Source organism: Homo sapiens, chromosome X, assembly GCF_000001405.40.
Source record: "Homo sapiens chromosome X, GRCh38.p14 Primary Assembly".
NCBI lineage: Eukaryota > Metazoa > Chordata > Mammalia > Primates > Hominidae > Homo > Homo sapiens.
In genome coordinates, this window is record NC_000023.11 from 56,543,419 (window position 1) to 56,561,564 (window position 18,146).

An 18,146-nucleotide genomic window follows, 5' to 3' on the forward strand; every position below is an offset into this window, starting at 1 on the left:
AAATCAACATACAAAAATTAATAGGATATCTATATACAAACAGTGAACAATTTGAAATGAGAAATGAAAAAGTAATCTTATTTGCAATAGGTACACATAAAATTAAATACCTAGGAATTAACCAAAGAAGTGAAAGATTTCATAATGAAAACTATAAAACACTGATGAAGGAATTTGAAGAGCATATCAAAAAATGGACAAAGATTCCATGATCATGGATTGGAATAATCAATATTGTGAAAATGTCCATACTACCCAAAGGAATGCAGATTTAATGCAATCCCTATCAAAATACCAATGACATTCTTCACAGAAATAGAGAAAAAATCATTAAATTTTTATAAAACCACAAAAGACCCAGAATAGTTAAAGCCATTCTAAGAAAAAAAGAACAAAACTGGAGGAATCACATTACCTGACTTCAAATTATACTACAGAGCTACAGTAACTAAAACGGTATAGTACTGATATAAAATCAGTCACATAGACCAATGGAACAGAATAAAGAACTCAGAAACAAGTGCACACACCTACAGTGAACTCATTTTCAAAAAAAGTGCAAAGAACATACACTGGGGAAATGACACTTGCTTTATTAAATGGTCCTAGGAAAACTGGATATCCATATGCAGAAGAATGAATCTATCTAGACACATGTCTCTCACCATATACAAAAATGAAGTCAAAGTTGATTAAATATTTAAATCTAAGACCGCAAACTATGAAACTATTACAAGAAAACTTTGGGGAAAATCTCCAGGACACTAGTTTGGGGAAACATTTCTTGAGCGATACCCCACAAGCATAGGTAACTAAAGCAAAAATGGACCAGTGGGATTGCATCAAGTTAAAAAGCTTCTGCATGGCAAAAGATAAAGTCAACAAAGTGAATAGACAACCCCAGAATGGGAGAAAATATTTGCAAATGACCCATTTGACAAAGGATTAATAAGCAGAATATATAAGGAGCTTAAGCAACTCTATAGGAGAAAAATAATAATCTAATACAAAAATGGCAAAATATTTGAATAAACATTTCTCAGAAAAGACATACAATGGCAAAAAGGCATATGAAAAGGTGCTCAACATCATTGGTAATTAGAAAAATGCAAATCAAAACTACAGTGAGATATTTCACCTCAGTTAAAATGGCTTATATCCAAAAGACAGGCAACAACAAATGGTGGTTGGAAGGTGGAAAAAATGAAACTGTAGCCCGTTCTCACAATGCCACTAAAGACATAACCGAGATTGTGTAATTTATAAAGAAAAGAGGCTTAATTGATTCACAATTCATTATGGCTGAGGAGGCCTCAGGGAAACTTACAATCATGGTGGAAGCTGAAGTAAACATGTCCTTCTTTACATGGCAGAAAGAAGGAGAAAAATGAGCAAAAGGGGGAATATTCCCTTATAAAACCATCAGATCTTATGAGAACTAACTTACTGTCATGAGAATAGCATGGAGGTAAACGTCCCCATGATTCAATTACCTCCCATTTAGTCCCTCCCATGACATGTGAGAGTTATAGGAACTACAATAGAAGATGATATTTGGATGGAGAAACAGCCAAAGCATATTATTTAAGCCCAGCCCCTCTAAAATCTCATGCCTTTCCAACAGTCCCTCAGTCTTAACTCATTCTAACATCTCATTTGAGACAAGGCAAGTCCCTTCCACCTTTGAGCCTGTAAAATCAAAAGCAAGTTACTTACCTCCTAGACACAATGAGGGTACAAGCATTTGGTAAATATACCCATTCCAAATGGGAGAAATTGGCCAAAATGAAGGGGCTACAGGCCTCATGCAAGTCCAAAATCCAGTGGGGCAGTCAAATCCTAAAGCTCCAAAATGATATCCTTTGACTCTACGTTCTCACATCTAGGTCACACTGATGCAAGAGGTGGGCTCCCATGGCCTTGGGCAGCTCCACATCTGTGGCTATGCAGGGTATAGCCCTTCTCAGCTTCCTTCATGGTCTGGCATTGCGTGTCTGTGGCTTTTCCAGGTGCATGGGGCAAGCTGTCATAGGATCTACCATCCTGGGGACTAGAGGAAGGTGGCCCTCTTCTTACAGCTGCAGTAAGCAGTGCCCCAGTGAAGACTGTATGTGCGGGCTCCGACCCCACATTTTCCTTCTGCACTGCCCTAACACAGGTTCTCCATGAGGGCTCCACCCTGCAGCATACTTCTGCCTGGACATCTAGACATTTCCATACATCCTCTGAAATCTATGTGGAGGTTTCCAAAACTCATTTCTTATCATCTGCACACCTGCAGGCCCAACACCACATGTAAGCTACCAAGTCTTGGGGCTTGCATTCTCTGAAGCCATGGCCCAAGCTGTACCTTGGCCCATTTTAGCCACCTCTGGAGTGGCTGGGATGCAAGGCACCATGTTCCAAGGAGGCTGCACATAACAGGGTGCCCTGGGCCGAGCCCACAGAACTATTTTTGCCTCCTAGGCTTCTGGGCCTGTAATGCAGGAGGAGCTGCTGCAAAGGTCTCTGACATGCCCTGGAGGCATTTTCCCCATTGTCTTGGTGATTAACATTTGGCTGTTTGTTACTCATGCAAATTTCTGCATCTGGCTTGAATTTCTTCTTAGAAAATGAGTTTTCTTTTCTAACACATCATCGGGCTGTAAATTTTTCAACTTTAATGCTCTGCTTCCCTTTTAAACATAAGTTCCAATTCCAAACCATATCTTTGTGAATACATAAAGATGAATGCTTTTAACAACACCCAAGCCACCTCTTGAATGGTTTGCTGCTTGGAAATTACTTCTGCCAGATACCCTAAATCATCTCCCTTAAGTCCAAAGTTCCATAGATCCCTGGGACAGGAGCTAAATACTGCCAACCTCTTTGCTAAAACATAGCAAGAGTCACTTTTATTCCAGTTCCCAACAAGTTTCTCATCTCCATCTGCAACCACATCAGCCTCGATTTCCTTGTCAATATTACTGTCAGCATTTTGGTCAAAGCCATTCAACTTGGAAGTCCCAAGCTTTCCCACATCTTCCTGTCTTTTTCTGAGCCTTCCATCCAAACTGTTCAAACCTCTGCCTGTTACCCAGTTCCAAAGTCACTTCCACATTTTGAGGTATCTTTACAGCAGCACCCCACTCTATGTGGTATCAATTTACTCCATTAGTCTGTTCTCGCACTGCTAATAAAGACATTCCTGAGACTGGGTAATTTATTAAAAAAAGAACTTTAATTGACTCACAGTTCAGCATGGCTGAGGAGGCCTCAGGAAACTTACAATCACGGAGGAAGTGGAAGCAAACATGACCTTCTTGACATAGTGGCAGAAAGGAGAAGAATGAGCAAAAGTGGCAAAAGCCCCTTATAAAACTATCAGATATTGTGAGAACTCACTCACTATCATGAGAACAGCATGGAGGTAACTGGCCCCATGATTCAATTACCTCCCACTGCATCATGCCCCTGGCACATGGGGATTATGGGAACTACAGTAGAAGATGAGATTTGACTGGGGCACCGCTAAACCATTTCAGAAACCCTTGTACACTGTTGGTGGGAATGTAAATTAGTAGAACCACTATGGAGAACAGTTTGGAGATTCCTCAAAAAAAAAAAAAAATGAGCTACCATATGATCAAGCAATCCCACTGCTGGGTATATACCCCAAAGAATGGATATCAGTATATCAAAGAGATAGCTGCACTCCCATGTTTGTTGCAGCACTGTTAACAATAGTTAATATTTGGAAGCAACCTAAGTTTCCATTAACAGATAAATGGATAAAGAAGAGGTGGTACACATAAACAGTGGAGTACTGAAGATGGCTGAATAGGAACAGCTCCAGTCTGCAGCTCCCAGTGTGATCAACGCTGAAGAAGGGTGATTTCTGCATTTCCAACTGAGGTACCTGATTCATCTCACTGGGACTGGTTGGACAGTGGATGCAGCCTATGGAGGGTGAGCTGAAGCAGGGCAGGCCATCACCTCACCAGGAAAGTGCAAAGGATTAGGGGACTTCCCTTTCCTAGCCAAGGGAAGTCATAACAGAGTGTACCTGGAAAAACGGGACACTCCCGCCCAAATACTGCACTTTCCTCAAGGTCTTAGCAACTAGCAGAGAAGGAGATTCTCTTGTGTGCCTGGCTTGGTGGGTCCCATGCCCATGGAGACTTGCTCACCGCTAGCACAGCAGTCTGAGATCGAACTGTGAGGCAGAAGCCTGGCTAGGCAAGGAGCATCCACCATTGCTGAGGCTTGAGTAGGTAAACAAAGTGGCTGGGAAGTTCGAACAGGGCGGAGCCCACCACAGCTCAGCAAGGCCTACTGCCTCTAGACTCCACCTCTATGGGCAGGGCATAGCTGAACAAAAGGCAGCAGACAACTTCTGCAGACTTAAACATCCCTGTCTGACAGCTCTGAGGAGAGCAGTGGTTCTCCCAGCATGGCATTTGAGATCTGAGAATGGACAGACTGCCTCCTCAACTGGGTCCCTGACCCCCTTGTAGCCTAACTGAGAGAAACCTCCCAGTAGGGGCTGACAGACACCTCATATAGGCAGGTGTCCCTCTGGGAAGAAGCTTTCAGAGGAAGGATCAGGCAGCAATATTTGCTGTTCTGCAATATTTGCTCTTCTGCAGCCTCTGTTAGTGATACCCAGGAAAACAGGGTCTGGAGTGGAACTCCAGCAAACTCCAAAAGACCTGCAAATGAGGGACCTGACTATTAGAAGGAAAACTAACAAACAGAAAGGAATAGCATCAACATCAACAAAAAGGACATCTACACCCCATCTGTAGGTCACCAACATCAAACAACAAAGGTAGATATAACCACAAAATGGGGAGAAATCAGAGCAGAAAAGCTGAAAATTCTAAAAATCAGAGCACCTCTTCTCCTCCAAAGGATTGCAGCTCCTCACCAGCAATGGAACAAAACTGGATGGAGAATGACTTTGACAAGTTGACAGAAGTAGGCTTCAGAAGGTTGATAATAACGAACTTCTATAAGCCAAAGAAGCATGTTTCAACCCATCGGGAGGAAGCTAAAAACATTGAAAAAAATGTTAAATAAATGCCAAACTAGAATAAACACTGTAGAGAAGACCATAAGTGACCTGATGGAGCTGAAAACAATGGCATGATAACTTCATGACGCATGCATAAGCTTCAACAGCCGATTCGATCAAGTGGAAGACAGGGTATCAGTGATTGAAGATCAAATTAATGGAATAAAGCGAGAAGACAAGGTTAGAGAAAAAAAGAGTAAAACGAAATGAACTAATCCTCCAAGAAATATGGGACTATGTGAAAAGACCAAATCTACATTTGATTGGTGTACCTGAAAGGGGTGGGGAGAATGGAACCAAGTTGGAAAACACTCTTTAGGACCAGGAGAACTTCCCCAACCTAGCAAGGCAGGCCAACATTCAAATTCAGGAAATACAGAGAACATCACAAAGATACTCCTCGAGAAGAGCAACCCCAAGACACATAATTGTCATATTCACCAAGGTTGAAATGGAGGAAAAAAATGTTAAGGGTAGCCAGAGAGAAAGGCTGAGTTACCCACAAAGGGAAGCCCATCAGAAAAACAGCAGATCTTTCATCAGAAACTCTACAAGCCAGAAGAGAGTGTGGGCCAATATTCAATATTCCTAAAGAAAAGAATTTTCAACCCAGAATTTCATATCCAGACAAACTAACCCTCATAAGTGAAGGAGAAATAAAATCCTTTACAGACAAGCAAATGCTGAGAGATTTTGTCATTATCAGGCCTGCCTTACAAGAGCTCCTGAAGGAAGCACTAAACATGGAAAGAAACAACCCATACCAGCCACTGCAAAAACATGCCAAATTGTAAAGACCATTGATGCTATGAAGAAACTGCATCAATTAATGGGCAAAATACGCAGGGAACATCATAATGACAGGAGCAAATTCACACACAACAATATTTACCTTAAATGTAAATGGGCTAAATGCCCCAATTAAAAGACACAGACTGGAAAATTGGATAAAGAGTCAAGACCCATCAGTGTGCTGTATTCAGGAGACCCATATCATGTGCACAGACACACATGGGCTCAAAATAAAGGGATGGAGGAAGAAGTACCAAGCAAATGGAAAAAAAAAAAAAAGGCAGGGGTTGCAATCCTAGTCTCTGATAAAACAGACTAAACCAACAAAGATCATAAGAGACAAAGAGGGCCATTACATAATGGTAAAGGGATCAATTCAACAAGAAGAGCTAACTATCCTAAATATATATGCACCCAATACAGGAGCACCCAGACTCATAAAGCAAGTCCTTAGTGACCTACAAAGAAACTTAAACTCCCACACAATAATAATGAAAGACTTTAACACCCCACTGTCAATATTAGACAGATCAACAAGACAGAAGGTTAACAAGGATATCCAGGACTTGAACTCAGCTCTGAACCAAGCGGACCTAATAGACATCTACAGAACTCTCCACCCCAAATCAACAGAACATACATCTTCTCAGCACCACATCACACTTATTCTAAAACTGACCACATAATTGGAACTAAAGCACTCCTCAGCAAATCTAAAAGAACAGAAATCACAACAAACTGTGTCTCCGACCACAGTGCAATCAAAGTAGAACTTAGGATTAAGAAACTCACTCAAAACCACACAACTACATTGAAGCTGAACAACCTGCTCCTGAATGACTACTGAGTAAATAACAAAATGATGGCAGAAATAAAGATGTTCTTTGAAATCAATGAGAACAAAGACACAACATACCAGAATCTCAGGGACACATTTAAAGCAGTGTGTAGAGGGAAATTTGTAGCACTAAATGCCCACAAGAGAAAGCAGGAAAGATCTAAAATTGACACCCTAACATCACAATTAAAAGAACTAGAGAAGCAAGAGCAAACACATTCAAAAGCTAGCAGAAGGCAAGAAATAACTAAGATCAGAACAGAACTGAAAGAGATAGAGACACAAAAAACCCTTCAAGAAATCAATGAATCCAGGAGCTGCTTTTCTGAAAAGATTAACAAAATTGATAGACTGCTAGCAAGATTAATAAAGAAGAAAAAAGAGAAGAATCAAATAGACACAATAAAAAGTGATAAAGGGGATATCACCAACGATCCCACAGAAATACAAACTACCATCAGAGAATACTATCAATACCTCTATGCAAATAAACTAGAAAATCTAGAAGAAATGGATAAATTCCTGGACACATACACCCTCCCGAGACTAAACCAGGAAGAAGTTGAGTCCCTGAATAGACCAATAACAGTCTCTGAAATTGAGGCAATAATTAATAGCCTACCAACCAAAAAAAGTCCAGGATTTTTCTATTCTACCTGCTACTCTTTATTTAATTTTAGACAGTTGTTTCTACTACATGATCCACTTCATTACCACTTTTTGTCTCTTCAGTCCAGTCCAGTCTGGCCTCCTTCCCAACCAGTTCACTCTAACCACTCTTGGCAAGGTCTTTGATGACCTTTGTGTTGCCAAACATACTGATGACCTTCTTCCTTCATCTTAAACCTTTAAAAGCATTTGTTACAGTGGTCCACTCCCTCCTTCTTCAGCTCTCTCCTCCCTTGCTTTCTGTGTTGTCATACTTTCCTGATTGTCTTCTGCCGCCTTCACTACTCAGTCTCTGCTATATGCTCCTCCTCTTCCAGACCTTTTATAGTGTCCCAGAACTCAGTCCTGGGCTTTCTCTTCTCTTTCCTCCACTTTACTCTCTTTCTCTTTCTTTTCATTTACAGAGTGAGTAGGTCAATCAGATGATCCAAAATTTGATTTTTAAAAAATTAGTTTATATTCTATTACTATCACAATGAAAAGACACAAAGATGAAATTATCACAGAGAACTTTCTTTTATGTTCATGGACCCCCATGGAGTTCTGAGCACCTCAGAGAAATGAGAGAATTCTGGCCATATAGAACATATAAAGTGCAGAAACTCCACAATCTATACATAACATACTAATAGCTCAACATATATTTTTGAAAATAGATTGTTTTTACTATCAAACTGGTCAGCCTCGATAATGGCTTCAGCATTTGGGCCTTATCTATAATAATTACAACAACAACTACTACCAATTTAGTGATAACCTACAATGGTCTAGGCTCTGTATCAGGTGCTTTACATATAGCATCTCATCCTACCTTCACACAATCCTGAGATATAGATAATACCATCACCATTTTTTCATTTGAAGAAACTGAAGCACAGAGGCATTAAATTGATAGTTGAAGACTATAGAGTCAGTTTATGAAGAAGCTGTGTTTAAATTCCAGGTTGACTAGGATTTAACTGATTTCAAAACTGGCTTTTTAGTGCTATGCTTGTATAGGCCATTCTCACATTGCTATAAAGAAATGCCTGAGACTGGGTAATTTATAAAGAAAAGAGGTTTAATTGGCTCATGGTTCTGCAAGCTATACAGGAAGCATAATGGCTTCTGGTTTTAGGAAGGCCTCAGGAAGCTTCCAATCATGGTGGAAAGCAAAGAGGGAGCAGTTGTCTTACATGGCAAGAGCCAAGAGCAAGAAAGGGGGGCATGCTACACACTTTTAAAGGACTAGATCTCACAAGAAATCACTCACTATTGCAAGGACAGTACCAAGGGGGATAGTGCTGAACCATTCATGAGAACTCTGCCCCTGTGACCCAATCACCTCCCACCAGGCCTCACCTCCAATATTGAGAATTACAATTCAACATGAGATTTGGTGGGACAGAGATCAAAATCATATCAATGCTCTTCATCTAATTTACTGATTACTTAAATTGTCCTGCAATTTTGGAGAACATGTATAGTTCAGAAGAAAGAGGTTAACTGTGTGATTTTTTTTAAGAAGAAACTTTAAACGTATTTCTTTTTCATCAATGAGAATGCATGAAGTACTGCTACACAGAACAACAGAGATGAATCTTACAAATATAAAGTTGAGCAAAAAATGCCAGACTCTAGGTAATATATACTAACTGATTCCATGCACATAAAGTCCAAAAACAGGTACAACTAATTTTTGTGTGCTAGAAACTAGAATGGTGATAATCTTAGTAGAGGGTTTTGGCACTGGTAAGGAGTATGAAGGATGCAAGGAATATTCTGTTTCTTCATCTGGCTGCTGGTCACACAAATGTGCTCATAGAGCTCAACACGCATGATTTGTGTGTTTTCTGTCTATATGCTATACCTCAATAAATTTACTTTAAAATTATTCATTTTAATTTAACTACATGGCTAGATATGAATTCACATATTCTTCAAGTCAGTGCTCCTATTATTGGACTACTGCAATTCTAATCAATAGTCACAAACATATATATCCTTACTCATTTCATTCAAACTGACTAGGTTTGAATCCTAGCTTTGCCACATACTAGATATGTGACCTTGAGCAATGACTTAACAGCTCTGCACCTTATTTTTCTCATTTATCAAATAAGAATAATTAGTATCTACTTGTAAGAATGCAATGATTTAATTGCTACCCCTTAGCTAAAGATCACCAAAGCATCATAATTATTTCCATAATTATTCTCATCACTTTGCTGTTTCCACTGAACAATTGCCTTGACCAGACAATTCTTCACGTCCCTACATGGACAATTATAAATGTCTTCTAAGAAGTAATACACAATGTTTTTAAAATCCTGGAAGCACAGCTACTGGAAAATCCTAAGATTTTGAATCCACTCAATGTCATCTGCACAATTGTTACTTACCTAATTTCCAGAGAAAATTGTAAAAGGTGATTTTTCCACAGAACATATTCATACCTACAAAGTTCAGGCTCTAGGGAGAATTTCTCTTCTTGACCTGAAGTACCTAAAGTACTCTCTTTGACCTACTACCAATATGCTTGTCCACTTTGCCAAGGGCCTTCTCTCATTTATTGCACTTATTCTTTTATTCTGAGACATAATTAAAGTTTCTATTCAAAAGTAACTTGGCTTTCTCTGTGTTCAGATGAATTAACTAATTCCCTGTATTCATATGTCTAACTTAGCTTTTCTGGTTCGATGGCTGCTTCATTTTTTGAGGCATATTGTTCAGAAAATCTATACATTATTCAAAAATTTATACACATCAAAATCACTCATTTCTATGCTTTCCATTCTAATTTTTTATCTGTTGAGCAAAATCAACAGAAAATTTTAATAATCCAACAACAAACAAAAATTGAGTTGTTATTTTTGCCTAATGACTGATAGGAAGTTACCCCAGTCCAAAACTTGCTACAAAATTTTGTAACCTATTTGTATTTAACCTGGTTTTTCTATGTCAGGAAAGTTCCCATTGCCTCTTTTCTCGGAATCCTAAAGCTATCCTAAATCCTCTCAGTCTGGAATTCTTATTCTCCTCAGATTATGCCCCATGCTCTGCACTATTTTTCTTCTGAAGAGGATTTGGATTTCATTTAGAAACCCATTTAAAATTGTACTACCATTCAAATATTCTTTGTCTCATCTTCTGTTTCATGACTCTTGTTATTCACTCTCTATCCTTTTCTGCCTATGTCATCATCATGCAGTATAGTTCTTTCCTTGGCTAATGTCCTCTGGCTGCATTTCTTCACAGAAGCTTATTTTTCCTATCTTCTCTTTTTGGTTATTTCTAGTTTTTCTCCATCCAGTCAGATATATTTCCTGTCACTTTCTTTCCAAGTTATGTTTTACCAGCTATTCTCTCCTTGATTATTTCTGTGTATTTTGAGTGATTATTACACTACACACTAAACTTTCACCTACATGTTGTGAACGTGTAACTATGTATTCCATCTGGTATCATGACCCTATAAACTTCTCCCATAACAATGTATTACTAAGTTATTAATTCTAACTGAAAATAAACTGTACTTGCTTATTTGACTAATGTTGCTCTTTCCGAGCAACATTGTCAGTAAGGGACTATAAGTTACCTTTCAACTACACCCCACCTCAAGAACTAGAAAATGAGAGCTATTTGAGTGTATTTTGAGGATTATGTTGTAGGATCAGCACATCACTAATCAAGGAACACAGATGTAAAATTATCTGAGGAGACAAAATGAATTTTGGGCCCTTAAAGTATAAGTATACTGTGACCTGGCTGACTGTATTAGCATCTTAAGAAAGAATGAACCACAAAGGCATAGGGAAAAGTTGGTCCCTGAAGTAAGGATTGGCAGCAACCAATGGATACAGGTGCCTTAGCCACTTGACTTCCAGTATTTTCAACCCTATAATCAATATCATCTCTGTTGGGAGATGAATGCACAGCACTAGCTTTGATTTATGTCATTAAACTGTTAGTTTATGATCTTATGAATCATGGTTTACCCAACAACCATCCTGCTATATCCCATCATATGTCTTTCAGATGATTTTGCTTGTGTCTGCTCTGATTAATGACGTAGGCTTATAATTTACATTCAAAGGGCAATCAAGTAGCTCTAATTTTCTAGTTCTGATTTTTATTTGGCTTCCTATTTAAGCTTTGAGAAGGGAAATGTGCTGGATGCATACACATAAGTAGTTTAGGTAGGCATCACAGTCCTGTTTCTCACTGGAAAATAATAAATTGGCATTCTCCCGTCTATCTCAGTCTCATCTGCTGTTTCATTTGTGTGAGTCAGTAACTCAGGGCCTGCACTATTCTGGCAGCTGGTAAAAGTGAGACCTTTGGACCTGCAAAACATAACAAAAGCCAGCAAGGCAACACTTAAATAACTGTTGAGACATACTGAAGTTGACATCTAAAGTTTGTCACCGTATATTTAAATAATTGCAAGAATACAATTTCTGGGATATTATGAATATTGACATTTTGAAATAAACTGTTACGTCCATTAAAGCGAACTAAATATGGCCTGAGAAGGGCTCTGTACTTCTATATTTGAGTCTTTGTAGACCATTTCTAACCTAACTTAATAGGTAGACAAGATTGAAAACCTAAATTAGGAGTGTGTGCCTGTAACAATAGCTGAGTCTTGGCCAATTCCAGCAGCCATACTTCAACCACTCATACACTGCTGAGTGTTCACACTCTGTTCAAATAATGCAAACACCAACCTGTAACCAATCCAGCTGTTTCTGTACCTCACCTCCGATTTCTGTACATCACTTTCCTTGTTTTGTCTATAAATTTATTCTGACCACAAGGCTTCCCAGGAATCTGTTTGAATCTGCTGTGATTCTGGAGGCTGCCCAATTTGTGAATTTTTTTTTCTTGCTTAATTAAACTCTGTTTAATTTTCCAAAGTTTTCTTTTAACACGTCAGCCTCTTAAATGTATCCAGCAGACCCTAAATACTATAGCAACTTGAGATCTGCCTCATGCATCTTTAAAATATAATAACAGATTCTTCTTTAACAGTTGAAAAATTTATGTTGTACATTTTTTCTTTAATATTTCTATTTATTTTATAAATAGAAGATATTTAATATTTTTCTTTAATATCTCTATTTGTTTTCTCCACAGAATTTTTGTCCTAATTTTATATATTTTATGTTAAAAAGCCTTTCATTGATCACCCTATTCATGCTTCTCTACCACAAAAATTATACAAACTAAATTAATTTTAAAGGATAAAACTGTTCTGTATTAAAGATAAATACTGTGTGTTCTCACTCACATGTGGAAGCTAAAACCGTTGATCTAATGAAAGTAGAGAGTAGAATAGAGGTTATTAGAGGCTAAGAAGGGTAGAAAAGAGGGGAAGATAAGGAGAAGTTGGTTAAGGGATACAAAATTACAGGAAGACAGGAGGAATAAGATTTAGTATTCCATAGTACTGTAGGGTGATCATAGCTAACAATAATTTATTTTGTATTTTCAAATAGCTTGAAGAGAAGATTTTGAATGTTTTCAACACAAAGAACTGATACCTGTTTGAGGGGATGGATATGCTAATTACCCTGATTTGATCATTATACATGATATACATGTATCAAAACATTACACTGCTCCTCATAATATATAAAATTATGTCAATTAAAATAATAAACATGTTGAAAAACCCCAAAGAAATAAAACAACTTATTGAAAAAAATTGTTTTGTATTATCATTATAATTATTGTTAGTACAAAATTTATCAAAAGCATAAATATATTATTGGTTTTGATAAAACTAGACATATAAGTAAGACTTAATTTAAAATTCATTTGGGAGTTTTTTTCCCTATTAGTTTATTTACCTAAATATCAATGTTACTCATTGCTAGCAAGTATTTTCCTTTTTATTGTTTTTATAAATATAAGCACTGAAATCATTTAATAAATAAACAAATAGATGGGAATGTAAAGACTTTGTCATAATAATTCCCTCCGTCTCTGATTTTGAGTCCATCTCTAGAGTCTTGGGAATTCACATACAATGCATGTGGAGAAAGCACCTCCTCCCACTGCTGCCAGGTTTATTTCTGTCAGTATTCTGATTTGCATCTTGGGATGCATTTTCACATAAAATGTTTTCAATGGTAACACATTACCATTTGATTATAATGTAGCTAATGTCTACTCTTAATCATGCTATAAGTCAACTAGGCTTCATAGGACTGTCTTGGAAACTTAACTTCTGCTCTGGGTAATTATTTGTATATTTATATAATTGTGTCAGTCCCAGAGCATTTTTCATGGCCACAAAATCACCTATGGCTACTATTCTATTATTAGAGGGATTAGGCCTTAATGACTTCATACTCACCTTCTGACACTTCCACTTTGTCTATTATTTCTACCTTATTGGTCTGAATGAGGTTGATTGACAGTAGCAGACATTCTACTCATTTCTACCTTCTGATAAAACATCGATTCTGCTTTTTCTATACCTGGTCCTCTATAGTACTCATTTTTAATTATCCCTGAGCATTTTTTCTCTTACCTTTTATTTTCATTTTAATTTTCCCTCTATTGATTTTTTAAATCTCAAAGGAATTTAGTACTTCTACATTCTTTTGAAAGGCACTCATGAAATGCAACTTATGCCACAGTTTATAATATAAAACCCGATTCTACACAGCACAGTGAGGCAGACTTTCACTGCCATCTCACATTTTCTCAGTTCCCAGTTTTCAACTGGAAATCACTCAGTCATATAATTCTGGTGGTAAGAGTCATGGAAAGATTAAACTGAAGGAAAAGTATTAGCTGCCATCATCATCATCATCATCATCATCATCATCATCATCATCTTCATTTGAAGAAAGTGTTTTCCACAATACAAACATATTTATAGCCCCCTGGGGTGAATATTCCACTCTTTTTTTCTGACCACCTTCTGCTTATTGAAGTTTAAAATTATTTATTTATTTATTTATTTATTTATTTATTTATTTATTTATTTATAGAGACAGAATCTGGCTATGTTGGCCAGGCTGGTCTTGAACTCTGGCCTCAAGCCATCTTCCTGCCTCTGCCTCCCAAAGTGCTGGTATTACAAGAATGAGCGAGCCACTATGCCCAGCCTAATATTCCACTCTTTAAGAAAGTGACCCAATTATGTTCTTGATCTTTTCCAATTCACCTCAGTGCTTCAGTGTTTCTACTCTTCAGGAGACATAGTGAAGGAAGAGAAAGCTTACTGAGCTCCTTCTTCAAAGATAAAAATTTCCAATGTTTATGGGGCAACTAAATAAGGAAATACATGAAGTGGACCTGGAGGAGACTGGCAAATCAGAATACAACCCTTATCTGAAGAAGGCAGCCAATATTCACCTCTAGTCAAATTACAGCCCTCAAGTGTATGAGCCCAATGTAGCCAGATCATTTAATTTTGAAAGAGAATTTTGAAATCTGGATTTGTAGGGGAGATTTTCCGAGTTTTAGGTGTCGGCAGGCCAAAGCCAGCCCAGGAATTGCCAGTTTGTAATTTGTGTCCTGGAAGTTAAAGTGGATATCTAACACTAGAATTTCTGGGCATTCAAGATAGCCTGATTTGTACATTCTTGCTTAACAGGCAAACTAAATGAAAAAGCAAAATTATTAGCAGATTATAGGGAACATAGGGTCAGAACAAAAATGATATGTAATTTGAATGTGTATCTCCAGAACAGAGTACATATCTGTCAGCTAGACTGTATCTCTGCTCTGATCCTTTCTAGGTTTTTTGTGTTGTTTTGTTGTTCATTTTTTCATTTCCTAATTTAACCTACCAATGGTAAACTTATTTCATTTGCTTTATTTTCAGAGAGGGGTGTGTGTCAGAGCAATTATTGTCTGGCTCATGTACTTACTGCCTGTGACTACAACCCTGAAGGGTATGTGTATTAATCCCACTTTTGCTGATGAAGAAACTGAGGTTCAAAGAAATGAATGAACTACTCAGTCACAAAACTGTAAGTGACCAAGTTGGAGTTGAAATACTGGTCTGTTTGGCTCCAGTTTAATCTCTTGCTACAATACCACAATACTGTTTCTCTGGTTCTGACTTTATTATTTGCCCCCAAATGCATCAACAGGAGTAGGGAATAATCATGGGATTTCTCTTAGGTTCTGTAGTTACACTGCAGGAAGAAAACACATTTAGTATAATCATCTCAAGACGCCAAGAGCAAGAATTACTGCCTCCAGATAAATTCCTAAACGTAGAATTACTCAGTGAACTTGTCTGCACATTTTCTTAAACTTTTAGTGTTTATCAGCAAATTGCCCTTTAAATAAGCTGTACTTACTAAGTAACTTAATTCCCAGCAGATTATGAGTTACCTCTTTCCTGTACTACTACTACTAATGATAATAATACTTCTATAGTGGATACTATGAGCAGGAAACTTGTAGGTGCTTAAAATACGTTAATTTATTTGATTATCAAAATAGTCCATCATTTTATAAATGAAGAATACTGAAGTACAGAAAAGTTAAGTTATTTGCCAAAGTCATGCAGTTTACAATCAGAGGTAATAGAACCAGGATTTGAACTTAGGCAGTCTTTATTGACTATGTCTAGATTGGATATTATATTGGTCTTTTAAATTTTATAGACAAAAAGTATTTCACAGTTACTTTAATTTGTATTTTTTTATTTAAAGGAGATAACATATTTTTTCTTCCTTTTCTCCCTTTCTTCCTTCTTTCCTTTTTCTTTTCATTCTGACTTTTTTTTTCTTTTGTAAGATACTGGTTAACATCCTTTGCCTATTTTTCCCTTGGAGCGTTCATTTTTTAAAAATTTGTAAGAAGTGTCTGTATGTCATGGATAGATCTCATGCGTTATATATGTTGCAATTTTTTTGTTTGTCTTTAACTGCTTAATTTTTATTACATTGTTGATATATAGTTTAAAATTCTTATTTAATGAAATCTATTAATTTTTTCCATCCATGATTTTTCTTTGTCATTTTCATCAGGTTACCATCATGCCTAGCTTATGTAAATATTTGCCCTAATATATTTCTGCAAATTTTATGATTTCATTTTTTAATCTAGAATTTATTTTGATATTTAACTTAAAAGTTCATTGATGGCACTCTTTCCACCTTTTCAAAACTGTTATGAGGTTGTTATTTTTCTCATTCCTGTCACTGCAGTGGGATTTGGTAAAGAGAGAGGGTAAAAAACGTAAGCTCAGCAGCCACTATGAACAAGAAAGCTGATTTTTAAAATAACTAGTTATTTACTTTCTTGTAACCCAGGCTGGAGTGTGGTGGCATGATCAAGGCTTACTGTTCGGGGGTTATTATTTTTCTCATTTCTGTCACTTCAGTGGGATTTGGTAAAGAGAGAGGGTAAAAAACGTAAGCTCAGCAGCCACTACGAACAAGAAAGGTGATTTTTAGAATAACTAGTTATTTACTTTCTTGTAACCCAGGCTGAAGTGTGGTGGCATGATCAAGGCTTACTGCAACTTTCACCTCCCAGGCCCAAGCGATCCTCCCACCTCATCCTCCCATGTAGCTTGGATTATAGGCACTAGCCATCAAGCTCAGCTAGTTTAAAAAAAAAAAAATTGTAGAGATGGGGTCCCGCCATGTTACCCAGGCTGTTCTTGAACCTGGGCTCAAGGAATACGCCTGACTTGGCCTCCCAAAGTGTTGGGATTACAGGCATGAAACACTGCACCTGGCCTTGTTCATTTTCTTACATGTCTCTTACATGGTTTGTTAAGATCTTCTACTTCTGGAATATATTTTGGCCATATCTATCTTCCTAGAAATGTAGTCATCAGGGCTTTTTTTTTTTTTTTTTGTCATTAGCCAATCTTTTTACAACGTATTTCTTTTTTATTAAAAAAAAAATCTCCTTCATCTGTGACTAAATGTATTCACACAATACTAGTTCGTATATTTTTCTTGGTGCTTTCTTTGTTTCAGCTAATTAATGCTGTCCTTTTCCCTAATGAGGATACGTATGTTCTACTACTAAAATGTTAATTTTATTTCATTGTAACTTAAAACATTAAAAGTAATATATTTTGAAGTAAAATGTCAAAAAATCACAATCACATAATTTTTAAGGTAAAGAAAGATAATGCAAAGAAGTGTGTTTCTGGAAGGTTTCCTCAAGAGGGTGAGTATGGTTTTGCCCCTCTGATGTGTATTTTGGTGAGGGAATTGTCAGCCAAGACAATCGCCAATTAATAAAGATTTGTGTATTTGACTTGATTCTTCAAATACTTTCTTAGATTTACTTAACAAATTTTATTTTTTCTGTTTGTTAATTCATTAATATTTGCTTTTATCATTCTATAGCTGTCACCTCACTTCCCTCCTTTTATTTTCCGTTGCCTTCTTTATTCGAATGCCTACTTCCCTTATTTTCAATCTGTTGTTTGATATTTTAAGTCTTTGAATGTATAAATTTGACTCTGAGTTCATCCACATAGTACTTAATAAATGAAATAATATTAAACTGGACCTTGATACAAATGCAGCTTCCAGTGCACCACTTATTTCAGTAGGTTTGGCGTGGGGCCTAGAAACATGCATTCTTAACAATGTTCTCAGATCACACGTAGAAAAATCCTAGCATTAGTATTGCTGTATATGCTCTCATTATCATTATTTTTGTAAATTTATTCTAATAAGAACATTGCACTTTGCCCCAAAAGTATTCAGTTATGTTTTAATAATCAAATGGTTGGTTTTTTGTTCATACTTTGATTATTAATATCTAGCTTTATTCTATGGAAATTAAAGATTACCTATAATATTTTCA